Source organism: Homo sapiens, chromosome 11 (genome assembly GCF_000001405.40).
Source record: "Homo sapiens chromosome 11, GRCh38.p14 Primary Assembly".
Classification (NCBI taxonomy): domain Eukaryota; kingdom Metazoa; phylum Chordata; class Mammalia; order Primates; family Hominidae; genus Homo; species Homo sapiens.
The window spans coordinates 108,581,266-108,609,179 of NC_000011.10; the positions used below are offsets into that span (position 1 = coordinate 108,581,266).

Here is a 27,914-nt window from a genome sequence, read left to right on the forward strand (position 1 = left end):
TGCACTCCAGCCTGGGCAACAGAGCAAGACACTATTTCAGAGAAAAGAAAAAAATATATATATATGTATGCATATATATAGTTTCAAATAGCTAGAAGAGAGGATATGGAATGCCCCCAACACAAGGAAATGATAAATGTTTGAGATTATGAATATGCTAATTATCCAGATCTAATCACCATGTATTATACGTATCAAAAGATCACCATATACTTCATGAATATGTACAATTATTATTTGCTAATTAAAATTAAAATAATGTAAAAACCAAAAAACGCTTATACTGGAAAAGAAGAAAGGTCTTCAATCAATAATCTAAGTTTTCACCTTAAGAAATGAGAAAAAAATAGCAAAATAAACATAAAGCAGGCAATGGTAAATATCAGAGCAGAAATCAATTAAATTGAAACAAAAACAATAAAGAAAAATCAAAGTAAGACAAAAAGCAGGTCCTTTGAAAACATCAATAAATTTGATAAACCTTTAACACGACTAAAAAGGAAAAACAGGGAAAGAATACAAATTATCAATACCAGGAATGAAAGAGGGGCTATTCCTACATAATATTCAGACATTAAAAGGATAATAAATAAATATTATAAATAACTTTATGCATATAAACCTGACAACTTAGAATAGATCCATTTCTCAAAAAACACGCACTGTCAAACTCACTCATGATGAAATAGCCGAAAAAGTTCTATATCTATCAAAGAAATTGAGCTCATAGTTTAAAACCTTTCAAAAAAGAAACTTCCCATTCCAGATGGTTTCATTGTTTCATTTTACCAATCGTTTAAGGAAGAAGCAATGCCAGGGCTATATAATCTCTTCCAGAAAATAGAAGAAAACACTTCCTAAGTCATTTTACAAGGCTAGAATTACTGACACCAAAACCACACAAAAATAGTATACAGGCTGGGCGTGGTGGCTCATGGCTGTAATCCCAGCACTTTGGGAGGCTGGGGCGGGGGATCACTTGAACCCAAGAGTTCAAGATCAGCCTGGGCAATATGGTGAAACCCTGTCTCCACTAAAAATACAAAAAAGTTAGCTGGGCGTGGTGGCACACGCCTGTAGTCCCAGCTACTTAGGGAGGCTGGGGTGGGAGGATTACTCAGGCCTGGAAGGCAGAGGTTGCAGTGGGCTGAGATCACGCCACTGCACTCCAGCCTGGGTGACAGAATGAGACCCTGTCACAAAGAAAAAAAAAAAAGGATAGAAAACCAGAAAACTATATATCAGTACCTCTCATGAACCCAGATTTTTTAAAAACCCTCAATATTAGCAAATGTAGTGAAATCATATAAAAAGAATAGTACATGATGATCAAGTGGGATTTTCTTGAGCATGTAAGTGGATTAGTTTTCTCAGGCTACCCCAATAAAGTACTGCACATTGAGCGACTTGAACAACAGACATGTTTCACAGTTTTGGAGGCTGGAGGTCAAGGTGCTGGCAGGGCCATGCTCCCTCTGGGGGCACTAAGGAAGGGTCTGTTCCAGGCCTCTCTCCTAGCTTCTGAAGTAGTTCCTTGCCTTGTGGCAGCGTTACTCCTGTCTGCACAAAGCATTCTCCCTGCGTGCTTGTCTGTCTTTGTGTCCAAATTTTCCACTTTGTATAAGGACATCATTAATATTAGAATAGGGCCCATCCTAATCACCTCATTTTAACTTGATTTTCTCTGTAAAGACCCTATTTCTAAGTAAGGTCACATTCTGAGGTATTGGCAATTAGGACTCTAACATAGCTTTTTTATTTTTTGGAGGACAGTTCAACCCACAACAGTAAGGCTGGTTTGATATTCTAAAATCAATTACTGTTAATAAGTATATCGCCAGGCGCAGTGGCTCATGCCTGTAATCCCAGCACTTTGGGAGGCCAAGGTGAGCAGATCACGAGGTCAGGAGATTGAGACCATCCTAGCTAACAAGGTGAAACCCCGTCTCTACTAAAAATACAAAAAATTAGCCGGGCGTGGTGGCGGGCTCCTGTAGTCCCAAGTATTCGGGAGGCTGAGGCAGGAGAATGGCGTGAACCCGAGTGCAGTGAGCTGAGATCGCACGACTGCACTCCAGCCTGGGCGATAGAGTGAGATTCTGTCTCAAAAAAAAAAATAAAAAAAAAAATAAATAAGTATATCAATAGTCTATAGAAGAAAAAGCCACATGGTCATAGAAGTTGATGCAGAAAAAGCATTTAATAAAATTCAAGATATGTTCAAATAAAAGCTCTCAGCAAGCAAGAAATAGAACCAGATAAAAGTCATCTACAGGCCGGGCATGGTGGCTTATGCCTGTAATCCCAACAGTTTGGGAGGCCGAGGCGGGTGGATCACTTGAGCCCGGGAGGTGGAGACCAGTCTGGCCAACATAGCAAAACCCCATCTCTATTAAAAAAAATTAACAAAAAAATAAAAATAAAAAAGTCATCTACAAAAAAATCATAGCTAACATCGTAGTTCATAGTGAAAGACAGTGCTCAGCAACAAAGCAAGGAAGTACAATGTCAATACTCCTATTCAACATCATGCTTGAAGTCCTAGTCAATATTAGGCAAGAAAAAGAAATAAAAGGCATACATATTGGAAAGGAAAAAATAAAACCATCACCACTTACAGGAGACATGATTGGCCATGTAGAAAATCACCCAGAAAAATCTGCCCCCCTCAAAAAAGAACATCCTAGAGCCAATAAGTAAGTTTAGCTAAGTGGTAGGGTACAAGATCAATATCAAAAATCAATTGTATTTCTCTATACTAGCAATGAACAATTTTAAACTTAAATGTAAAAATTTATATGGAAAAGCAAAGGAATGATATAGACAAAATAGTTTTAAAAACAAAGAATAAAATCGGATGGCTTATTTAACTCAGTAAAACACCTTTGAGAGTCACACAGGTTGTTGTATGTATAAATAATTCATTCTGGCTGGGCACAGTGGCTCACACTTATAATCCCAGCACTTTGGGAGGCCAAGATGGGCAGATCACCTGAGGTCAGGAGTTTGACACCAGCTTGGCCAACAGGGCGAAAACTTGTCTCTACTAAAAATAAAAAAAAATTAGCTAGGTGTGGCGTCACACAGCTGTAATCCCAACTACTCAGGAGGTTGAGGCTTGAGAATAGTTTGAACCCAGGAGGTGGAGGTTGCATTGAGCCAAGATTGTGCCACCGCACTCCAGCTTAGGCGACAAAGAGAGACCCTGTCTCAAAAAAAAAAAAAGGGAGGAAGCATACTACTTGACGTTAAGACCTACTATAAAGCCACAGTAATCAGGATACCATAGTATTTGTGAAGGAAAAGACATAGAGGTCTATGGAAAAGAGCAGAGTCCAAAAATGGACTCCAAAAATATAGCAAATTTTTTACAAAGGGGCAAAAGCAATTTAATGAAGGACAGTCTTTCAACAATGGTGTTGGGATAATTGGGCATTAATATGCAAAAATAAAATGAACCTCAATCTAAACCTCACACTGCACATAAATCTTATTTCAAAATGCATCAGTGTAAGACATAAAACTATAAAACTTTAAAAAGAAATCATAGGAGAAAATGTTTGTAATCTGGGCTGAGGCAGAGTATTCTTAGAACGCTACTAAAAGCATGATTCATAAAAGAAAAAAGTTTGATATGTTGGATTTCATCAAACTGGGTAACTTTTACTCCACAAAGACACAGTAGGAAAGTTAAGACAAGCTACAGATGGGAAGAAAATGTTTGCAAACCTGGTGTTCAACAGGAGACTTGTATCTGGAATATATAAAGAATTCTCAAAATTCATCAATCAGAAAACAAATAACCCAACTAAAAACTGTTCAAAAGATTTTAGCAGATACTTCCCCAAAGAGAATATATGGAAGGCAAGTAAGCACATAAAAAGATGTTTACCATCATTAGTCACTAGGGAAATGCAAATTGAAACATGAGGAGATACCTCTACAAACCTATTAGAATGGTTAAAATAAAAAAATATTCAAAATACCAAATGCTGGCAAGACTAAAGAACTACTATGCTCTTGTCTGAAAGTATGTGTCCCCCCAGAATTCATATGTTGAGCCCTACCCCTCAAGGTGATGGTAGTAAGGGATGGGGCCTTTGGCAGGTGATTAGGTGGAGAGGGCTTCTCCCTCATGAATGGATCAGTGCCCTTTTACATGAGGCCTGAGAGGAAGCCTTTTTGCCCCTTCTACCATGTGAGGACACAGAAAAGGCACCCTCTATGAGGAGGGGGACTTCACCAAACACAGACTCTACCAGTGCCTTGATCTTGGACTTCCCAGGGTCTAGAACTATAAGCAATAGATTTCTGCTCTTTATAAATTACCCAGTCTAAGGTATTTTGTTGTAGTAGCCTGAATGACAAAGACAGAGATTGGAACTCTTATATACTGTTGGTAGGAATGCAGAATGGTACAGCTGTGGGAAAAACAGTTTGGCAGTTTCTTGCAAATTCAAGAATATGATCCAGCAATTCCACTACTAATAAAAATCATGTTCACACAAAAGCCTGCTCATGGATGTTGATAGCAGCATTATTTAATATCATCAAAATGTGTAAACAAAACAAGTGTTCTTCAGTGGGTGAAAGGATAAACGAACTGTAGTAATCCATATAATGAAATACTAAATACTACTCAGCAATATAAAGGAATGAATTATTTATTTATTTGTTCATTTATTTATTTTGAGATGAAGTCTTGCTCTGTAGCCCATACTGGAGTGCAGTGGCACCATCTCAGTTTACTGCAACCTCCACCTCCCAGGTTGAAGTGATTCTCCTGCTTCAGCTTCCTGAGTAGCTGGGACCACAGACGCGTGCCACCACGCCTGGCTAATTTTTGTATTTTTAGTAGAGACAGAGTTTTGCCATGTTGGCCAGGCTGCTCTCAACCTGGCCAACATGGCGAAACCTCAAGTGATTCTCCTACCTCGGCCTCCCGAAGTGTTGGGATTACAGGTGTGAGCCACCTTGCCTGGCCAGAATGAATTATTTATACATACGACAACCTGTGTGACCCTCATTTTACTGAGTTAAAGAAGCCATTCTCAAAAGGTTATGTATTCTGTGCTTCCATTTATATAACATTCTTTAACAAATAAAACGGTAGTGTTGAAGAACAAAATAGTGGTTGCCAGGATAAGTTACTCCCTCCCTGATCCCCTTTCCTCCCTCCCCCATCCCCTTTCCTCCCTCCCCCATCCCCTTTCCTCCCTCCCCCATCCCCTTTCCTCCCTCCCCATCCTCTTTCCTCCCTCCCCCATCCCCTTTCCTCCCTCCCCCATCCCCTTTCCTCCCTCCCCCACCCCCTTTCCTCCCTCCCCCATCCCCTTTCCTCCCTCCCCATCCTCTTTCCTCCCTCCCCCATCCCCTTTCCTCCCTCCCCCATCCCCTTTCCTCCCTTAACTGCTGTTAAATGCATCGTTTCAAAGTGAAAACCAAGGTAAGCTTTATCAATATAAAAAAACACAACTTTTTGTTGGGGTGCAGAGAATTTGGTCACTGTCATCTCCCATTTCCTCTTTCATCTAGAAAGCCTAACACACCATGGAATGAGGAAGCTGGCTCCTGTGATCTGTTAATATTTGAAGTATGGCCTTTTAATAGGGCCATTGGCAATGTCAATAAGGAAACATCCTGAGAAGGAGAGGGCGATGAGCCTATAGCTCTCAAATCTCACAGCTTGGGGAATAACTCACTACAGAAAAACCGACCTGAATGAAGGTGAAGGAGAGAATCCACCCACGTTTACGAAAGACCATGCCTTAGCTAGCACTTCTTAGTTCTTAGCCACCTTCTTCTCAATTTTAAGACCCTGCTGTGCTAAACAGGAAGGAAAGCATTTTCTTTTCTTTTCTTTTATTATTACGATACTTTAAGTTTTAGGGTACATGTGCACAATGTGCAGGTTAGTTACATATGCATACATGTGCCATGCTGGTGTGCTGCACCCATTAACTCGTCATTTAGCATTAGGTATATCTCCTTACTAAACTTAACCTGACCTCCTTTTGACCTTCATGTGGTTCTCAGGTTTAAGACCATCTGTGCTAATGAGGAATGAAAGTATTTTCTGACTAACCTTCACCTGACTTTCTTTCGCCCTTCACCTGGTTTCCTCAGATCTTTCTTTCCCTTAGTTTGTATTGCCTATAGCAGTAAGTTAAGTTCCATTTGACTAGGTATTGAGTACCGAAGTGTGTGAGGCTCTCCATCCCTGAAATAATCCTTGACCACAAGGAATCAAGGTTGATGTACAACTTACCATGTACCAACTTACCTGTGCACACATTAACATTGTAAAGAAAAGGACAAGGGCAGAAAAACATTTAGACATTTTTAAAAAGAAATTTACCCTTACAAGTTATTTATTTTTTAAAAGACATTTTTAAAAAGTATTTTACCTTCGTAACGGACATTTATGAAAGTAAAAAATAGTCAAACATTCCATATTTATTATCCAAAGAAACAGTTTTATTTATTTATTTATGTATTTATTTCAAGACAGAGTTTTGCTCTTGTTACCCAAGCTGGAGTACAATGGCGCGGTCTCGGCTCACTGCAACCTCCACCTCCTGGGTTCAAGCGATTCTTCTGTCTCAGCTTCCCAGGTAGCTGGGCTTATAGGTGCCAGCCACCAAGCCTGGCTAATTTTTGTATTTTTAGTAGAGATGGGGTTTCACCGTGTTGGCCAGGCTGGTCTCAAACTCCTGACCTCAGGCAATCCACCCATCTCAGCCTCCCAAAGTGCTGGGATTACAGGCGTGAGCCACAGCACCTGGCCCTATTTTTAATAACATATGATAACTAAAAAATAAAACAGTAGTAAAAGGGTTAAAGTCCCTTTAAATGTGATTCCCCAAAGATAATCATTTTAACAGTATAAAGTCTTCCTTATAGAATGCATATATGCATTTTTAACATAAATGGTTGCCAGCAATTTTTTCTATATAGGCAGATGGTATCAGTTATCTTCCCATACCCATTATGCCATTTTCCTTAGTAATAACATCTCCAACTTTTAGCTGAGCATTTGACTACATAGAATTGTGTGTTTTTTATTTTTATGGTGAATGGAGATAAAATAGCAAGAGATTTAAAGTGGATAGATCCCAGTCCTGGTTCTGTTATGAGCTAGATGGGCCAGGTGAGGAAAGTCACTTCAACTTTTTGGTACTGTAGGAGGCAGCACAGCACAGTGATTATGTACAGATGGAGTTCCCAAATCGGACACTCCCTAGCAGTATTATCTCAAGCATGTCACTTACCCTTTCTAAGCTTCCTTTGTCGAATGGAGATAAAGATATCCCTTAACTCATCAGGTTGTTGTAAGAATTAAATGAGATAGTGCACACAAAGAGCTTAGCATGGGTCAATACTCAACAAATGTTAGCTATTATTACAGTTGTTTTATTAGCTTTTGGAAAAGAAGATAATAGTATTTGCTTTATCAGGTTGAGGATGAGGATAAAAAAATATGAAAGACTTTATAAGCTAAAAGAGTTATAATATCACTAAGCTTAAAAAGAACACTGCTGCTTGGCATTGGGATATGGAACGATATTATTATAGTAGTTCTGTGTGTATTGCCTGTGGGGACAAATCCACAGGAGTAACTAGACAGGAAAATGTATCTGAGAGGAAGTTCTCCCTCAGTTTAAAGGAATTAACTAAATTGGATGCCATTGGAAAGTGCAGACAGCTCAGAGATCCGTGGTGTGTTAATCTGGTACTTTGTTATGTTTCAGAACTTGCTCAAGCCTCCTGAGCACACTTGTGACTTCCAGGCATTGTTCTTGTTGTCCCTTTTCCAGGCCACACAGGACTGCATAAGGGCGAGCTACAGTTCATCTTACACATTCTATCGCCAATGAAAACCTTTCATAGACTGAAGCCATTTGGGACAGAATCTGTGTTTTATTTTCCACTGTATTCTCAGGGCCAATCCAGTGTCTGGCACACAGTAAAAAGCCCAATCAGTAGACATCCAATGTCTCTAGAAACTCTGCCCCTTAGCCAGAGGCAGATTTCACAGGCTGGGAGAGGAGAGGGCAGGCAGAATGTGTAGGGGAGGCAGGAGGCTTGTGTATCTGGCTTTTAACCTCTGCCGGATGTGGCAGCTGCCACCAGCTATAGACCACTTTATGACTTTGACATATACAGTCCTGTTCAGACCTGTGCCACAGCTCAAGGATATTAGTGTAAATCAATCAGAAAAAACTAAATTCTGGAAAACCCTCCTGGGCTGCAATCTTGCCATGGAGCAAAAAATGGTCTAAATCTAGACATGCCATTTAAAAACTTGATTACTCCAGGCACCGTAACATCTGGTTCTGATGCCAGATAGATTTAGGTTCAAATTCTATCTCTGACGTTTATGAGCTGTGTGACCTTAGGCAAGTTCCTTAACGTTGCTAAATTTCAGTTTTCCTTCTATAAAAAGCCATTAATAATACCCCAAGAAATGGTTGTGAGGATTATTCAATCTTGATGGGTAAAGTAGTTTTGAAATAGATCTGGATTATAAATTCTGGCTCTGCTGCTTAAGTTGGACAAAATACTCGACCTTTTTTAATTGTTTCCTTCTCTGTGAAATGAGAATTAAAGTGTATACCTAATGAGGTTATTGGGAGGATTAATTAAATCTGTATAACATGTTTAGTACAGTGCCTAGTATATAGTAAGGGCCTAATAAATGTTAGCTGTCGTTATTACCACAATAATTACTATTATTACATAAAAAGGCAGCACTTAATATATGTTGGTGTGGCCATCTCCTCCACCTTAATCTCCTACTAATGAGAAATATCCAAGAATTGGACAATTGGGTCAAGCGTAAGGCGTATCTTGATAGATATTGCCATAATGCTCACCAAAAAGCTTGTAATCAACTTACAACGTCACTAACAATGTGCAAAATCTGTCCATTTCATTCCAACCCTCACCAACATTTTTTTTTCTGTCATTTTTAAAGGGGCAGCATGGTATCTCAAGGTTACTTCAATTTTCATTTATTACTGTGAGGGTAGACATTTTCCCATCTGTTATGTTTACTGTTTGGATATCTTCTGGTGTGAATGATTTATTTCTATCTTTTGCCTATTTATCAGTTTGAATCTTGGTGTTTTTCTTAAAAATCTGAATAAACTATATATTAGAAACATTAACTATTATATTTAATGCAAATACTTTCCTGGTAAGTTGGAGCCAGAGAGGTCTGGTACAGATGAGGGGAGATCAGGAGAAAGTTCTATGTGTTCAGGAACTTTTCTGTGGGTGGGGCTGCTGCCTTCTGCATGATGAACTCAACTACCCTCACACCTATCTCAGAACATCTCTGGCCCTGCATGACACTGTAGTTCTTTTTTAAAAAAAAATGATTTTATTTATTTTATTTTTAAAGACAGGGTCTCTACTGTGTCACTCTGGTTGGAGTGGAACAATCATAGTTCACTGCAGCCTTGAACTCTTGAGCTCAAGGGATCCTCCCACCTGAGCCTCCTGAGTAGCTAGTACTGCAAGTATGTGCCACAATATCAGGCTAAATTTATTTTTAATTTTTATTGTAGAGACATGGTCTCTCTGTGTTGGTCAGGCTGGTCTCAAACTCTTGGCCTCAAGCGATCCTTTTGCCTCAGTCTCCCAAAGCACTGGGATTACAGGCGTGAGCCACCGGGCCCAGCCCCAACTATAGGGTGCCTGTATTTCTTCTTAGTTGTCTTGCAGATACCTCAAGCCTATCATAGATATAAATGAACTCATCAGCCATTCCCCAACCTGCTAAATTTCTAAACTTCCCCATTTGGACCCTTATTGTTCTAGTCAAGAGGTCTTGAAGCTCTTTCTCAATACAGTAAAAAGGCTTCCCTGAGTCTCTCAGACAGGCCTGTTGAAGCATCTCTTTTTTGTTGTTGTTCACATATGCCAAGCCAGAACAGAATGAAATTATACTCTTGAGTTATAAGTCATGTGTCCTGATTTTTGATTTGGAAAATATGATCACACATATCAAGAAAATGAGCAGAAGAGGCAGCCAAGTTGCCATGTTGTCTCAGGCCCTTTCTGCATGCCAATATCTGATACTGAAATTAATACATGTGAGCCTGAAGTGGGTAAGCAGAACAATCCCATGGAGCCTGCAAGCCAGACATGGGTATTTGATAGTGGAAGTGGGGAATTAATCAAAGGAAAAGACAGTACTAGAAATCATTGCCTTGGGTATTTGGTCCACACATCTACTTTCCTTAAATGATTTTTGTATTTTAATGGTGATATTTTTCAAATTGTTTGGGCAATTAAATACTTTTAATAATTAGTATAATACAGTATCGATTTTGTCTTAGCATTATGGCTTTTTCTGTTGATGCTTCCATTAGAATATGAGTGCCATGAAATTAGAAAATGTGTTTTGACCTTCCTTCTAATGCCCAGCCCAATGGCTTTGTGTAGATACACGTGCTTTGTGTAGATCTATGTGGAGATCCAGTTCCCTCTAAAGTCAACTGCAGTGGGCATCGTGAGTTGCAATAGAGAAAACACAATAAGGCAAGCAAGCATCAGGTCAAAAATAAAAAGTCAAGATAACATCTTAAATGAAAGCTTCTCTCCTTGTTATTTTCTAACTCTCCCCTCAATTTCCCCAAATATACAATGGATCACTTAAGAAGCCCCATCCTCTTCAGAGACAAGAAACATTTCCAATAACACACACTGAGAATAACCGCAGTTTCTTAGTGCCTTTGGAATATGCACTGAAATTCCGTGCAGTTCTGAAATTCTTCTTCTGAAAGTTGGGTGTGCCTTGTGCGGTGCATGTGCATATGTGTAGGTACATTATGCACGTGGGTGTGTGTGGGTGTGGCATACTGTTCTCCTGAAGGCACACTTTCTACACTGTTCAGGGGAGGGGAATGATAAAGCCACTTTTTCTCAAGGCAGATGGTATGAAATCCATATTCCCCAACCTCAAATATTCCTTCATCCCTCAAAGAGTCATGTTTAGGGGAGAAGGGTGAAGTCAGGGCATTGGGCTTAGTGTATTCTAATTCTTTCTACAAAGACCAACTAGATTTTCCAATTTGAAGAGGGTCCCTGGAGGGTTTCTTTTGTCGGCGGTGGGGGACAGGCAATTCTAGAAAGAATTGGGAACCTGGAACTCGCATTAGCAAGCAGTTGATCATAAAACAAAATGACTTGCTAAATTCCAATCAATGGCACACAGTGTGGTCTGAGAGTGATGTCCTGAATTCCCTTCCACAGTTATCTAGAGAAGGACTTAGATGGATATATTCCAATATTGGCGAGAGAGTCCCTTTAATTCATTCCAGCACTTATCCCACACTTCCCCAGCAGAAAAACTGGTTAATGTACATCCTGGGTAATTATCTGTGTCTCTGGATTTCATTCTTTAGTAACTAATCCCTCACCTACAACAGTGTATAGTAAGGTCAAGGATGAAATTTCTCAGAAACTCGCTCCCCACAGCACCACGCACAAGAAGACCCACCCATTCCAGCCAACCCCGTGTGTCCAAGTCCCATTCGCCCACATAAGCCTCTATTTGACAAATTCCTCGAGCTCCTACCCTTGGGGTGGGGACCTTTCGCCTCCCGTGAGGTGCCGGCTCTCCCGTGCTTCGCTGACTGCCCGCATTGGGTGGGGAGATTCGCCTCTGGTGCCGAGGGAAAACTGCGTTAGGCGAGGGTGGAAGCTCTGTCGGACCCGTGCGAGCACGTGGGTGCGCGCGGGCCGCGGAGTGAGCAGCAGCCAGGATTCCTCTCCAGATCGCGCCCCCGCCGCATTTCATTGCCTGAAACGGCCCACGCCCCGCGATGGCCCAGCAGACACCCGGCACAGCACAGCGTCACTGCGCGGCCCCCGCAGCGCACGGACCCCCCCACCCTGCCCGACCCCAGACCCGCAGCCGAGCCCGTCTGGTATGTGGTGGGTGGAGAGGGTACCAACTAAGCATCCCAAAGTCCTTCAGGGAGCAACTCCGCGCAGTTTTCTCTTCCCGACCCGCAGCCTCCGCAGCAGCCGCTCGGAGCACCCCCGGGCAGGTGCCCCGCGCGAGCTCAGCGCCTTCCCCGCGGATCCCCGGCCCCTGCGGGACCCAGGCCCAGGACAAAAGAAATGAATTTGCTCTGTACCTGATCCTGTCCTTCTCGGCCCTCTGTAACTCCTCATTCCTTTCCAGCACCTGAAGGATCTTCCTGGCCTCTTCGTCATTTAAGAAACTGAAATCAAACGCCGGAGGAACTTTCGTCATTTTCTTTACTGTGTGTGAGTTACACTTAAGCTCCTTGGCGCCTCCTGTTAGGAAGGCATTTTTCAACCTGTACAAGACCAGTTTCACGAACTTGATCCCACAGCCAATAATAAGTCCGCCCCTTTGAAAGTCTAAAACCACAAACCTAGGGAACGCCCACACCTGAAGGGCTCATATTGACAATACCTTAATGACATGTTTCTCTCAACCTGTCCAACCGAGATGCAAAGTGAACGGCTAAAGGGAGAGAGGGAACCAATCCCGTTCCAAGGGGGCGGGCCCTCCCTTGTCCCCTCCCTCGTCCCCTCCCTCGTCTCGTCCCGTCCCTCGTCCCCTCCCTCGTCCCCTCCGGTCACCCTCCCCGCCCCCTATCTGAGTTGTTAAGCAAACAAGCCTACATAATTCTGCCTCTTAAGTGAGGCAAGGCTAAGTGTTGGCGCCAAAGTATTTGCTTTTGCTGTTGCTGTTTGCTCGCAGAACTTGAGCTTGATTAGTAAAGGAGTGAAAAAGGAGATTCATGACTAATCCTCCCTTTCAATAATTAAGAGCCCATAGAAAATAGAATTGCAAGTAGGGTTTGTAACTGGCAAAAGGGTTACTTATCTGAAAGACCAGGAAGAACTAAACTCAATTACACTACTGACTGTGGATGAACCTGGCTGAAGGGCGGAAATTAGTGTATCCTTGGAAACGAATTATTTGCCAAGCCTCTCATCCCACAGACACCCCCACCTCCACTGTCCCACAAAAGTCATTCTTAGACTTTAGAAACAAACAAACAAACAAACAAAACCGTTTATGGTATTTTAGGAGAAGACAGCCCAGAAGCAAAGGACTGTAGAAAACACCTGTTAGAAGTTTTCTGTAAGATTTTATTATCATCTTAATAAACTCAGAGAAGTAATACACATGCCATTTAAAAATACCTAATCCTCTGGTGAAAGCAAATGGTAATCCTATGAAGCCACAGAAATAGCTTTCCTAGAAAGTCAATTGTTCCACAATGCAATGAAGAATAATAGAAACTTATAAAGATATTCACATATATACTTTTTTTTTAATTATCAAGGCTTTTACAGAAAACATGTTTTTATCTTGGCTTCACTTCCTACCCAAAAATAACTCTGTCAGATTGACTTTCCTGCCCCATAGCCTTAATTTGGTCATTTTGAAGATGGTGGTGATGATTACTAACATATAAAATGTACTTCTACATATATCATTTCTTTTCATGGCACATAAACCCAATTAAAATTTTGTATCTGTACAAGAACATGATATCAAAAATTGCCACTTGTGTTTTGTTCTCTGGGCTACCCCATTTGATCATCATTATTTAAAACATGCCTAGGCAGCTAGCCATTCAGATAACTTTCTGTGGGTGTCTGTTATTTGTGTGAACCAGGAACCAATTTTGTTCACCCATGGTGTACACAATACAGAACTCCTTTATAAATAGTGTCTGTATTAATGATCCTGTTTTGGGAGTATGTCTTGTATATGGTGTCCAGTTTTTCTAGTGTGTTCATTTATTCAGCATACACATGGGACTTTTCAATATGGTCACTGGTGGGATTTTACACTGTTTCCAGTATATCAGTGAACTGATTTCAACCAACGTATCCTGGTGCCTATTACATGAAGGCATCACACACTGTGAACAACACAGTCCTTGTCTTTAGAAAGTTTGTAATCCAGTGGGAGAGATACACAAATAGAAAGATGACTATGTAAAAAAGAACATAATAGAGGAATAAAGAAAATTCCATGAGCACACAGAAAAGTTAGTGCCAACTGAGTGGATGGAGAGAGGATACGGTATTTAGGTTGCTGCATGAAGAGTCAGATTTCAAGAGGAAGAAATAGGGGGTGGTGGGAGGAGATGTGTGAGTCTATTCTAGGCAAGGGGATCAGCGTGCTGAATAGCAGAAGTACAGTCTAGGAATCTTCTCATATTCCCTCAACCTCTTTAATGGCCAGACTGAACAAAAGCTTGGAAGCTAGAAAACACTGGAGCATGTTCATGGATTGTTAAGTGATCTGTTTTGGCAGAGCATGTAGTCTCCACAGGGGTAAAATCTTCCTCTTTTTATGTAGAAAGCACAAATCTACACATGATACACAGATACACAGTATATCTGAAGTATTAACATTGCACAAGGGAGGTGATTGTGAAAAAAGTTCTAAAAAGGTGCATTGTGGGGACAGTAGTGAGAAAGAGGTTTAGAAACACTGGGCTAGTGCTCAGAGCACAGTGAGCTGAAAGGTAGGCTGAGCTCTGACTATGAATGCCATGTGATGAAATCTAGACTTCATTGTGTAAGCACTGAGGAGCTAATACAGGTTTTGAGGGTGATAATGATACAGTTAAAATTGAACTTAAGGCCGGGCACAGTGGCTCACATCTGTAGCCCCAGCACTTTGGGAGGCGGAGGCGGGCAGATCACGAGGTCAGGAGATTGAGACCATCCTGGCTAACACAGTGAAACCCCGCCTCTACTAAAAATACAAAAAATTAGCCCAGCATGTGCACCTGTAGTCCCAGCTACTCGGGAGGCTGAGGCAGGAGAATCGCTTGAACCCGGGAGGCGGAGGTTGCAGTGAGCCGAGATCACACCACTGCACTCCAGCCTGGGCAACAGAGTGAGACTCTGTCAAAAAAAAAAATTGAACTTTGGGTAGATTACTCTGATAGCAGTAGACAAGAAGAGTAGAGTGAAGATGGCATCAAGGAAACCATTGTGTTGGAATGCTGATGCAGGAGAAAGGGAAAGAGGACCCAACCAAAGGCAATGTAAGTGAGAGTAGAAAAAGAGGGTGGAATTCCAAAGATATTGGCTGGATTTGATAACTCATTAAAAAGGAGGATTAAGAAAGACAGAGACGCAAAGATGATGCAAGATCTCAAGAGAGATGTCTAAAAGGAGACCAGTCTATTTGATAGTATGAGAAACAAGGTTTGTCAAGAAATCAGGTGTTCAGTTTTTGGCACAAGCAGTTTGAGGTACCTGCAATTCATCCACATGGCAATTTAAAATGAGAAATGTGGGACTCAAGTTCTTGAAACAGGGATGGAGAAGTAGACTGGGAAGTTGTCTGCTTAAAAATGGTTGCCAAAACCCTAAGATAGCAAAGGAAGGATGAGGAGCAGAAGCTGAGTTGAGAACTTTGAGTGTCCAACCTCATCAGACTTCAGCACTGAGGCATGCTTCAGCCCTGGGTTGTGGCACAATGGGGCATACTATTGAGAAATTTTTATATTGAGAAATTTACAAGGCATTGGGGACTGCCCTGGAAACCATACAGAACTGCTTTTGTGGAGTTTTAAACACAATGCTCTTAAAATTAAAATAATTCTCCAAAGGTTTGTTTTATGGGCTTATTTAGCCGGAGGCAAGCAGCCATTTTCAATCTTAGTATCCGGTAATCCTGGCAACCTTTTGCCCAGGCTCTCAGCTAAAGAGATACTCATCAGTTTAGTATTTAATAGTCACAGCTGGATAGAAAGCAGTGATCTTTAGAAATCTCTCATAGTCCCCTACCCTCTCTAGTCTGTTGGCCAAATCCCCACCACAGGGCTTAGTTTTTTCCATCCTTGACAATCACCAAGCCAAGAGACATGCTGATCACATCACTTGCTTGAATGTCTGATTTTTTTATTTTTATTTTTATTTTTCTTGAGATGGAGTCTCACTCTGTTGGCCAGGCTGGAGTGCAGTGGCTCAATCTCAGCTCACTGCAATCTCCGCCTCCAGGGTTCAAATGATTCTCCTTCCTCAGCCTCCCAATTAGGTGGGATTACAGGCGCACGCCACCGCACCCAGCTAATTTTTGTATTTTTATTAAAGAAGGAGTTTCACTATGTTGGACGGCTGATCTTGAATTCCTGACCTCAGGTGATTTAAATATTAACATAGTTTGCTTTATCATTAGATCAAAGTAATAACACATTATTATCAAAAGTTCTCTGATAAAATTCAAGATTGCTTTTTGTTAGGACTAAACTAAATTGAGCTAAATTTAAAAATACTTGGTAATCCTTTAGAAAGGATTTTTCCTTGATGTGGCAAGGAATGTCTGTCCCAGACAACACCAGTATTATAATTAATGGTGAGTCTGTGAAGTAACAACAAATCAGAGGTACCTGCTATTCCCTGTCTTGTGTAACATTGTTCTGGTAGTTCTAGTTGATACAATAGGGAAGGAAAAAAACAATGTGGTGTAACTCTTAGAAAAGAGAAAATTGATCATAGATGATAATTATCTACTTAGGAAAAAGACCAAAGAAATTTGTTAAAAAAAACCACAAAAACTATTAGAACTAAAGAAGGAGTACGAATTAGTGGCCATGTGTGGCTTCATTCAAAAAATATTTATGGAATGTCTACTATCCATTGGGAAATGTTCTAGGAGCTGTGTAGACAAGATGTTCCTGCGCTCAAAACGTTAGCTTCTAATGCATAGAGGTTAAAAAATAAATAAATAAACAAATCAACATCAATTTAGAGTGTGATAAGTGTTGTGAACCAAGTAAACAGGGTGGAGAATGGGAGGGATGCAGGGAGGGCTCCAGCCAGAGTGGTCAGGCTGGAGACTGACCCGCATGATGAGATGTCATATGAGCTAAAACCTGAAGGATAAGAAGCCAGACATGTGAAGAACTTACGTGTACAAATGTCCTCAAATTGGTTGAATAAAATGTGGGTAGAAAGTAGATGTATGTGCTATTTATAAGTTCTTTTTGAACCTTCATCTTCATCTAAGAAATATTCCACAGAATTCCTTGCCCAGATAATGGGCTTAGTTGTTATGGGCATGTAGTATTTGTTTAACCTGCTGTATGTCAGGCTCTGTGACAGGTGCTGGAAATGCAGAGGCACCAAGGCAAACAGGTCTCTGTCTTCAGGGAGTTTGCACTTCCTTGGAAAGAGACAGATAATACATTAGTAAATAAATAAAAAGATTTACCACGTGTGATAAACGCTATGAAGAAAATTAACAGAGTGATATGGTGGAGAGTAAGTCTGAAGAGGAGGGGATAATCTTACATGGGGTAGTTGGGAAGGGTACCCTGAGGTGACACATAAGCGGTGACCTGAGGGGTGTCAAGGATCCAGCTTTGCTAAGACACAGGAGAAGCGCTTTCCAAGCAGAGGCAAGTGCCAAGATGCTGAGGCAGGAGAGAGATTGGCAGGCTCTGGGCTGATGTCTCTGGACCGTGGTAAATATCCAGAAGAGGGACATAAAAAAGGAGGTTGGAGAAGTAAGTGTGGGCCTGATAACATAAGGGAGCTAGGCCAAGCAAGGGAGTTCAGATTCCATCCTAAGGACGTGGGCTTGGAGTCAGTATCTTTGGTTCAAGCTCTGGCTACACTATTTATTAGCTGTGTGACCTTGGGTAGCCATCTCACCTCCTTCCACCTCATAAGATTGTGCAATTAAATGTGCTAATGTCTGGGAAGTGTGTAGCATATGGTAAGCCCTCCGGAAAAAGAGACGGAGAGAGAGAGAGAGAGAGATCTTCCCAGCTAGGTGGTCAATGGGATTCTGCCCAGTTTCCTCCTCACACCTGGCTGGCTTCTGGGATAATAAAATGAATTTCCAGATGTTACCTCTTCTCTCCCTGCCTCCAAGCTAGAGGAACTCTTTCCTCTGGGCAGAACTCACCTCACATCGTATATGACATAAGGATTAAATGTTTTAAATTGAAAATGTAGCATAATGACACCAAAGTGGTAAAAGAAAAAAAAAAGATATTTGTAATCCTACCATCCTAATTCAAGGACTGTTTCCATATTTTAATATCATTCTAAAGTTCTTTCTCATGTATGCATGTGTATAAAGCTATAGTTATAATCACAATTGTGTATATACATATATACAAATGCATACTCATAACACAGTTGTAATCACAGTGTGCATATTTTGATAAAGGCTTTTAATATTACCATGAAAGACCTCTGTAGATGTCACAACCTAACTGGATTTAAAAAAAGAAACTTCAGTTCTGAAAGTTCTTTGAGAACTTTAAACTGCTTTACAGAAATAAGATTGTTGGTAGTTTTTATGTTACTTCAATAACCAGTTCTGGCATTTTATAGTATTCACTCTTTGAACATTCTTCCTTATAGCAATTCTACCTACTTCCATGTGGTTGCCTTTCTGTTTAGAAGAAGTGCCCTTTCAATAACAATCCTTGTGCAGACATCAAGTAACACCTGGAAAAGAAACCTTTTTGTTTGTTGCTGGGCAGCCTTCTCATCAGTAAAGAAAGCAGGGTAAGTGAGAGCACTGACAATGCTGATGGGATGCAGGCTTTAATAACTACTGTCGACCTGAGAGAAGGAATGCCATGCCTGCTCTCAATAGATTTTGGAAAGTTTTCAGTAACTCACTTCTTCATAAGCAAAGACCTACATTTGTTTGCTTCCATAATACTAATCCCTTGAACTTGATTTTACTCTTTGAGTCCAGGAGATTGCAATCTGGGTAACTTGGAATCTACAAGTAAGGTGAGAAGAGACGGCCCTTTCCTATGCTTTCCCTTCTATATTGTATGGAGATGGGGGAAAAGCGTACAGAGAGTGGAAGAAAATTCAAATATGGGAGACTGAACTCAGCATCTTCTAAACTTCAAAGAAATGTCCACTCAGAATGAAAGGAGTGAGATTGAAAGTTAAGTTGTCCTTTCTCCATCAACAGCCTAAATACTGGTATGCTGCAGTCTCTTTGCAACCTTTTATTAGATGGATCATTGCAATTAATTAATATACCACTCACATCTAATCAAATGGTGGCTCCAACTAAACCTGAAGTTTCTTTTTATCTCTGTGCATTTTAAAGAGTTTATTAATGTATTTGGATTTTTTTTCTCATTTTGATTCAAGTACTTAGGTTTTAAACTAGAAAAAAAAATGTTAACTGTTTAATGTGACTGGCACAGTATGCGGATGATAGTTCTTCAAAACTTGTGACTTAAGAAGGCAAATTTCCACTAAATAGAATTTGATAATTTCATTTCTTGTTTTTAAATTCATTATCAGGACCTACTAGTGTCTGGGTGGAAGACTTTAAGCAGAGCTAACTGAGTTAACTCACCAATGAAGGCCTTCAGAACTTAACCTCCATAAATTAATTTTGGTGTATTTTAAGTACTTTTTGGTTCTTCACTTGCTGTATTAGTCATTTGTTCTCATATATGGGGCGCACTTCAAATAATACATTAACCATACACATTTTAGGATTCTAGCCATCCCTTTTTCCACCACACACAATTGTTTTCCTGGTTATCTTTGTTGTTTCACATGGTCAGGTGTTTATTGTCTAGTGACAAGTTCAATGACAAGTACAATGTTATTCAATGCCTTCAAACAGGATAATGACACATAAGTTTCTAAATACAAGCTGTTGAAAGAACACAAAGAAGTTGTTGCCATGCCTTAAGAAGCATGCTAAGTCCTGCAGCAGAGCCCATGGATCGGCAAGAACTGTTCACCATACAGGGGCTTCCTGCAGGTAATAGAATATTCCTACCGGAGTGAAATTTGTCATATATGCTTGTGGTCCTGAGTTAGAATGTCTAACTTGAGTACTAATTGAGCAGAAAATGTCAACCCTCTTGGAATAGAGTAACATCTGGGTCTTGCTAAAACCTATTAAACTAATTATTGTGCAGATCAAAATATGCCAGTGCTTTAATTAACTGTATGTTTTAATACCCGTAGTCACATGATGGTATGTATCATATTAGACATTCTTCTGGTTAAGTTGCTGACTAGGTAGACAAACTTTCAAATTAATAGCATACTTCAGTTAATAGTCATAGGAGAGAAAATGCACTTAACATATAAAGAAATACAAATAAAAATAGTATTTCCAAGACTGACTAAGAAATGGTCACATAAATTTACAACCATACTAGGTACAATCCAAGCTTGTAAACAACAATTTATATAATAACAGATGCCCTTCTACTTCTGGCCTATTTGTTAAAACCTTAAGTACTGGAATCCAATCAATATTTTTCCCTTCAAGGTGTAATTTCAAAGTTGAGTATTTAAATATGACAAATAGTAAAATCTATGAAAACTTTGATCATTTCCCCTATATTGTAAGTATTTGAATATGAAATGATGGAAACTCTCTTTCTTTCTTTTCTCTCCCTCCCTCCCTCTCTTTCCTTTCTTTTTTCTTTCTTTCTTTTCTTTTCTTTCTTTTTTATTTTTATTTTTCTACAGGGTCTGACTCTGTCATACAGGCTGTAGTGCAGTGGTGCAATTTCAGCTCACTGCAACCTCCACTTCTTGGGCTCAAGCCATCCTCCCACCGCAGCCTCCCACGTCGCTGGGTCTACAGGTGTGAGCCACCAGGCTTGGCTAATTTTCATATTTTTTGGAGAGAATGGGTTTCACCATGTTGGCCAGGCTGGTCTCGAACTCCTGGAATGAAGCAATCCGCCCACCTCAGCCTCCCAAAATACTGTGATAACAGGCAAGAGCCACTGTGCCTGCCCTGAAATGATAGACTCTACATCCCTTTCCTATTTGCTTTTAAGGCTGGTCCAACTGTGATGACATGGGAACCATTTAATGTGCTTCCCCTCATAGCTTATCAAATTGCTCCCTTGAAACACTACTGTATCCTGCATCCATTTCTAATGCAGCCATCCATTCATTTATTCTGGGTTATTTTCACTAATTCATTTAGGGTTATTTTTGTTCATTCCATCATTCAACAGATATTTATTAGGCACCTGCTGTGTGCCAGGCACTGTTTTACAGCTGTTCTTTACCTCTCTATTTGAATTTCTCTTTTCAGTTTAATTTCCTCCAAATTCCTTCCTTGATAGTTTTCAATGGTTATTTGCCCCCATCTCCTACACCTCTCTTTTTGAGGGGTGTATCCAATGTAGATTTATGTTATCCACCGATTTTCCAGAAAGGCAAATAACCTGGGCCAGAGGGGTTTCTCCCATGTAACTCACTGTCCACCTGGGACTTCCACTAAAACTGCCTTTTTTTTTTTTTTGGAGATGAGGTCTCATTCTGTTTTCCAGGCTGGAGTACAGTGGCCAGATCACAGCTCACTGCAGCCTTGACTCCAGGGGCTCAAGCGAGTCTACCATGTTAGTCCCCCAAGTAGCTGGGACTACTGGCGTGAGCCATCATCTCACCCATCTAAAACTGTCTTTAACATAAAGCAGATTATAAGGGGTTAGTAGGATAAGAAAGGAAAATAGAAACCCAATACTTACTGCAAATACTATGCAAATCATATATAATTTCTCAGGTTGGTTTAAAAATCATATTTAAATAGATACAGGTGATACAGTGTGGCTCTGTGTCCCAACCCAAATCTCGTCTCAAATTGTAATCCCCATAATCCCCATGTGTTGAGGGCAGGACCTGGTGGGAGGTGATTGGATCACGGGAGCGATTCCCTCCATTCTGTTCTCGTGATAGTGAGTGAATTCTTGTGAGATCTGATGGTTTTATAAGCATCTGACATTTCCCCTGCTTGCACTTCTCTCTCCTGCCACCATGTGAAAAAGACCTCTCTTTTCCCTTTGTCTTCTGCCACGATTGTGAGTTTCCTGAGGCCTCCCCAGCCATGTGGAACTGTGAGTCAATTAAACCTCTTTCCTTTATAAATTACCCAGTCTCAGGTAGTTCTTTATAGCAGTGTGAGAACAGACTAATACAATAGGGTTGCCTTTTGGATTGCTGAACATATTTTGGAGCTAGATAGAGGTGCTAGTTGTACAACACTGTAAATGTACTAAATGCCATTGGATTGTTCATTTTAAAATGATTAATTTTATGTTATGTAAACTTCACCTTAATACAAATAATTTTTAAATCATATTTCACACCAGTCATGGTGGCTTGTATCTGTAATCCTAGCTACTCAGGAGGAGGATTGCTTGAGGCCAGGAGTTGGAGACCAGCCTGGGCAACATAGTGAGAATCCGTTTCTTAAAAAATTGTTTTAAGAAAAATCATATTTCACTATTTTTGTCCATGTTGATAACATTGTGAACCTCCCCATCCTCACTGCAGTAAGCTGGGGATAGTCCACATACAAGCTCAGTACATTAAGCATAATGCCATTATTAACTCAAGCTTCTCAAAATGTGAAGTTTAAGTTTAGTAGGACAGCATTAAGCCAAAGAGGCTGTAAACACTGGCAAGATACAACCACTCTGTTCTGATGAATAGGCCATTTGCTCCACATGACTGAATGCTGGAACAAATATGACCTCCACCTGTGGGCAGAGAGCAGTTCCTAATAACTACCTAACAATGATAAGGTGCAAGGCTTCCTTATGGATTGACCTGGAGGAGAGAAAGGCTGTTTCCAGGAGAAGCGAACACAGACTTCAGAGATCTTTAGGAAAAGATGGCTGGGATTCTGGAATGATAAGGAAGTATAACAGGCTGTTATTCACGAGTTGATATTTGTTAGAAATGGACCTAGTGGTCAGGTCAGAAAAGAAGATCTGATGGTAGTAGACCTGTTTCAATTTTTTTAAGGGTAGGCAGTTGGTTTTTCTACATTTAATTGAAGAAAGGGCTGAATAGGCCGGGTGCAGAGGCTCATGCCTATAATCTTTGAGAGGCTCAGGTGGGAGGATTGCTTGAGCCCAGGAGTTTGAGACTAGCCTGGCCAACATGGTGAAACCCCATCTCTACAAAAAAAAAAAAAAAAAAATTAGCTGGGCATGGTGGTGTGTGCCTGTAGTCCCAGCTACTTAGGTGGCTGAGGTGGGAGGATCATTGGAACCCAGGGAGTTAAGGCTGCAGTGAGCCAAGATTGTGCCACTGCATTCCAGCCTGGGTAACAGAGCAAGATCCTGTCTCAAAAGAAAGGCGGGGGGTGGGAGAGGGCTGGATATTTTTGCCAATTAAAGAAAACTTTATTTCCTTTTATTTCATCCTACCCTCATTACCCTACTCAGCCTCTTGGTAATTTCTGTATTTGTTTTATGTGTATTATTATTGCAAATTAGAACTCAGAAGATTTTCATAGTTAGGAGGTCTGAGCCTTACCCCTTTTCTATAAGTAAGTGTCCTGGTTTATAGATGACAGGATGGGAAGTCAATGGGAATGTGGAGATGACTTTTAAAGAATATGACTCTAAGACAGTCAGAAAAGTGGTCTGGAAGTAGGTGTTAAGGCCAAGGAGAATGCCAATGCCTGAGGGTCCTGAGACCCCAGGGTCAAAGGGAAGAAGACAACACAAGAAGTGGCTACTACCTGTGGTCAAGAAGGAAATTCAGGTTATTAGGATGAAATCAGTTTTAGGTTAAAGGGGAAAGGAACACTCACATAAAGGTCTGTAAGTGTACAGGAAATTTTAGTAAAATTAATAAGGGTTTCAGTGGCCATAAAATAGGTAAATTAGAGAAATAGGCTTGGTTGGGTGGAGATGAATTGGATGGGACTGACTTAGAAGGAATTGAGAGTAACAGAAGTAAGAGGTGAGTGGACAGGAGGGAGATTCCCTAAGAACAAGATCACTGGGATTGGGATGGGTTCTTAGCCAACAGAAAAAAAATTCTGGGACAAGAGTGTCAAACCAATGATCCCCAAAGTTCCAGGTGGAAACGGGTTGTGATGGTGTAGCACCTTGAAAGGGTGCCTCAAGGTGGAGACCCTTTCCCTGCTAATGGGTTTTAGCCATCATTTCCATAAAGAGTTGATCACAAAAGCAGTGACCCTTCTGCTGGGGCTCTTCTCATCCTCCAAAGACTTAGTGTCTGAGCAGTGCTGGCTTGGGGTCACAAGTGAAAGTCATGGAAAATAGCTGCCTAGGTCCAACATAGGAGATGTGATTCTTATAAAAATTATACTGTGTGACATATTAGAACAGTTGTTCTCAACTGAAGCTGATTTTGTCCCTTGGGGTCATTTGCCAATGTCTGGAGACATTTTTCACTGTCACCTGTGGGAGGAGAAGTGGTACCAGCATCTACAGGGTAGAGGGCAGAGATGCGGCTAAATATCCTACATTATACAGGACAGCCCCCCTCCTACGCCCAGCAAAGAATTATGTGGTCCAAAATGTCAACAGTGCTGAGGCCAAGAAACTTTGTGTTAGAGCAATTTGGATTCAGAGAACCTAGGTTGTGGGATACACTCTGCTAATTGCTAACTCTGCGTCCTTTGAAAAGCTACTCAGTTTCTCTGATGCTTCATGTGCTTGCCATGCCTACTGTATAGTGGACATATATGATGAATCATTCTGAAAAGGATGAAGAGAAATACAAATGTAATAATTCAGCAGCAGAGGCAGGACTGCAGAACCTCCCCACCAATTGTGAGGCAGGATTGCAGCAGCCTCTGCGCTGGCCTCCAGCCTCCATCCTCAGCCCTTTTTAGTCCATTGTTTGAAATAGAAAGCAGACTTGTTTTTCAGAAATATTTCTTTCAGCATATGTTCAGCTATATGACTTCCCTAATCAGGAATTTGTGAGATCTCACCATCACCTTCTTCTTTTTTTAAAAATAGAGACAGGTTCTCACTCTGTTGCTCAGGCTGGAGTGCAGTGGCACGATCATAGCTCACTGTTACCTCGAACTCCTGGTTTCAAGCGATCCTCCCTCCTCGGCCTCCCAAAGCACTGGAACTGCAGGTGTGAGCCACTGCACCCAGCCTCACCATTACCTTCTACACCAAATCCCCAAACTGCCTAGCTCTAAAGCCAGTCATGATGTCACCCTGTTAAATCCCCCACACCAGTCCCTGTCAGGCATGCCTGCCCAGACAGCTGGTTTCCTCCTCGTGGGCCCTGTCTTTGCTCAGACTCTTTCCCCACCTTCTGCTCCCCAATCTCCACTCCACTTATCTCTTTCTTACCCATCCTAAGTCTTGGCTCAGCTTTACTTCCCTTACAAAGCCCTCTGTACCTGCTCCAACCCACCTGCCTTACTTTTCCAAAAGTTTTCCACCTAGTAACCAGCCCCACACAATTTAATATCAACTTACTCACCTTTTTTTAAAAAAATGGATTTTAAATTTGGGCTCTCTAATGAGCTTGCAAACTCCTTGGTTTTATAATAAGCCCTTTAAAGACAGGTTCATACCAAGGACTCGGCTCAAGGCTCACTTTGTGCAAGAAGCTTTTCCCAACCCTTCCCCTTATGATTCACCCCTGCCTGATGACACCCTCCCTCAAGCCTCCTCTCCTCATACAGGTTTTTTTCAGAGCACCTAGAACTCTTTATATTACTTTTTGTTTATATACCTTTTCCCACTAGCTAAGCAAAAACTCTAAAGCAGGAACCATATCTTAATTACAATCTGGTCCAGGTTCAATTTTGTCATACCACTTACAGATTTTTTTAAAATTTGTAAACCATTGAGAACATTTCTATTTACCTTTTCAGACTACAAAGATCGTAAATGATGGACTTTTCATTGTGACCACTAAGAGTCATCAAACCAAGACTCAAGACAAATAGGAGGTCTAAAAATCTCTGTCTCAGGAAGTTCTTTGAAATAGGAATCCGAGAACAAACAGAAGTACATCAGCTGTTCCAGGCAATAGACTGATACAACATAAACATAAAAATCACTAATGAAAATATCACTAGCTAACATATGTTAGGAAAAGAGACAAGAGCTTTGTTTCTCTTTCAGCTTTTCACTCACATGCCTTGAAAAGCTGAAATAACTGAAAGACAGAAAGAATTCTAGAGTACAATACTGGGAGTACACAATATTAACATCAAGAATAAGAATTATTTTTCAAACTGACTTAGGCCTATGTTTATTAAATGTCTTATTATTTTTAGTGTGGGGTGAATATGGAGTCAACTAGAAAAGAATTCATCATAATTTTTACTCATTCAATGTAAAAATATCCTCCAAAAAATATTCTTGCATCAATACATAACTATCAGAGCATCAAACAATTGGAAACCTTGTCATTGCTGGTACTTACATCTGGGCAATTGGAAATGATGATGTGACTGGCATGGTGGCTCTACGATGTACTAACCATTGTCTTTGTTTTGTTTGGCTTATATATATGTGCTCTTCTAATTTGCATGTATAATTGCCTAATGCCAAGCAATTACCCACTTTCCTCACACACTGATTTATACATGCAGGAATCCCTCCCCTTCACTAATCTTTCAAACCTCCACCCAGAGTTGCATCAAACAAGGGCCCAAGTACCTGCCAAATGCCTTCTCTTAGACTAAATTATACATTTCTAACTAGTCTCAGTATATCCTTACATTTTATCTCCTTTAAACACTAGTATTTCTCAAAAGATTATCTGAGGATCAGAATCACCTGGGTTGCTTGTTAAAAATGTAAATTCCTGGGTCCACCCAGACCTACTGAATCAGACTCACTAGTAGTATCAGGAATCTGCATTTTCAACAAGTACTGTCTGACAATGCATATGCATGAGAAGGTTTGTAGCCACAAGTTTTTTGGTTTTCAAATTTTACTTTCCTAAAGATTTGAGGCCCATTACCTCACAACAGTATAGTACAAAATAAAGGTGGTTTTGTGATTACCAAATTCTCAAAATGAACATTCAGGACTAGCTAATATTCTGGAAATAGAAGACGCTTTAAATACACAACTGATTTTTTTTTTTTTAATTTTTTTAGATGGAGCCTCGCTCTGTCACCCAGGCTGGAGTGCAGTGGTGTGATCTCAGCTCACTGCAACCTCTGCCTCCCTGGTTCAAGCAATTCTCCTGCCTCAGCCTCCCCAGTAGCTGGGATTACAGGCATGTGCCACCACACCGGGCTAATTTTTGTATTTTTAGTAGAGATGGGATTTCACCATGTTACCCAGGCTGGTCTTGAACTCCCGGGCTCAAGCAATCTGCCTGCCTCGGCCTTCCAAAGTGCTGGGATTACAGGCATGAGCCACCACGCCCAGCCCACAGCTATTAAACTTAGCTTTCCCTAAATGTTCCTCTATGTGTTGTTGAATGTGTATTTGCTGAGTATAGGAGAAAGGAAGTTTTCCATGCTTCTCTGCAGCTCCTTCCCAGAAGCTAAGAGAATTGGGCTAATACCTATTTGGTGGTATAGAAAATTGCTCAAGCAGAGATTGCAAAGACTTCTGTCTTAGAGAGCTGCTCTCTGCAAGCCAAAGTCACATCCTCTGGCCTGGTGCAGGGGCTCACACCTGTAAACCCAGCTACCTGGGAGGCTGAGGCAGGAGGATCGCATGAGCCCAGGAATTGGAGGTTACAGTGAGCCATGATCATGCCTGGGTGACAGAGAAAGATCCTGTCTCAACAAAACAAAACAAAACAAAAGACAAAGTCAAATTCTCTGTGTGAGAGAGAGGGGGAGGGGATCAGAGAAGGGGGAGGAGAAAAGGAGGAAAAGGAGAGGGAGGAGGAAGAGAGGAAAGAGGAGGGGAAAGAGAAGAGAAAGAAAGGAGAGGGAGCAAGTCCAGGGCTGAAGGCTGATTCCAGCAACCATTGTCCTTGAGAATTATTCCTGCCTGAATTAGTCCTCTATACTCAAACTCCTTTTGGGATCTTGGTATCTCACAGTGATACATGATCTTTGCTGATATTATCCTATGTATGTGATTCTTAAGCAGGGGCAATTTCTCTTCACACCCACCCCAGTGGGGACAATTGGCCATTCCCTAGACATTTTT

At 40.9% G+C, this 27,914-nt stretch overlaps 1 protein-coding gene across 11 annotated transcripts in view, besides 3 other annotated features; it reads right to left on the bottom strand.

The window, feature by feature from the left end:
• Positions 1 to 26,271, bottom strand: part of EXPH5 (exophilin 5) — a 102,102-nt gene extending 75,831 nt beyond the window's left edge. For 5 of the 11 annotated variants that reach the window (NM_001441059.1, NM_015065.3, NM_001441075.1 and 2 more), the window contains exon 1: positions 12,153 to 12,503. In NM_001441059.1, coding sequence (NP_001427988.1) covers positions 12,153 to 12,271 — 119 coding nt within the window. In that variant the 5' untranslated portion in view covers positions 12,272 to 12,503. Of the gene's footprint in view, positions 1 to 12,152; positions 12,504 to 26,217 lie in introns of those variants that run through there. The other 6 variants (NM_001441060.1, NM_001308019.2, NM_001441070.1 and 3 more) reach the window with 2 other exon arrangements.
• Positions 11,980 to 12,039: a silencer, noted in NCBI's record as "silent region_3879". NCBI's record gives its function as "represses an Ori minimal core promoter by ATAC-STARR-seq in GM12878 lymphoblastoid cells {active_cell/tissue: GM12878}" and the evidence as "EXISTENCE:reporter gene assay evidence [ECO:0000049][PMID:35858748]".
• Positions 12,320 to 12,369: a silencer, noted in NCBI's record as "silent region_3880". NCBI's record gives its function as "represses an Ori minimal core promoter by ATAC-STARR-seq in GM12878 lymphoblastoid cells {active_cell/tissue: GM12878}" and the evidence as "EXISTENCE:reporter gene assay evidence [ECO:0000049][PMID:35858748]".
• Positions 12,390 to 12,689: a silencer, noted in NCBI's record as "silent region_3881". NCBI's record gives its function as "represses an Ori minimal core promoter by ATAC-STARR-seq in GM12878 lymphoblastoid cells {active_cell/tissue: GM12878}" and the evidence as "EXISTENCE:reporter gene assay evidence [ECO:0000049][PMID:35858748]".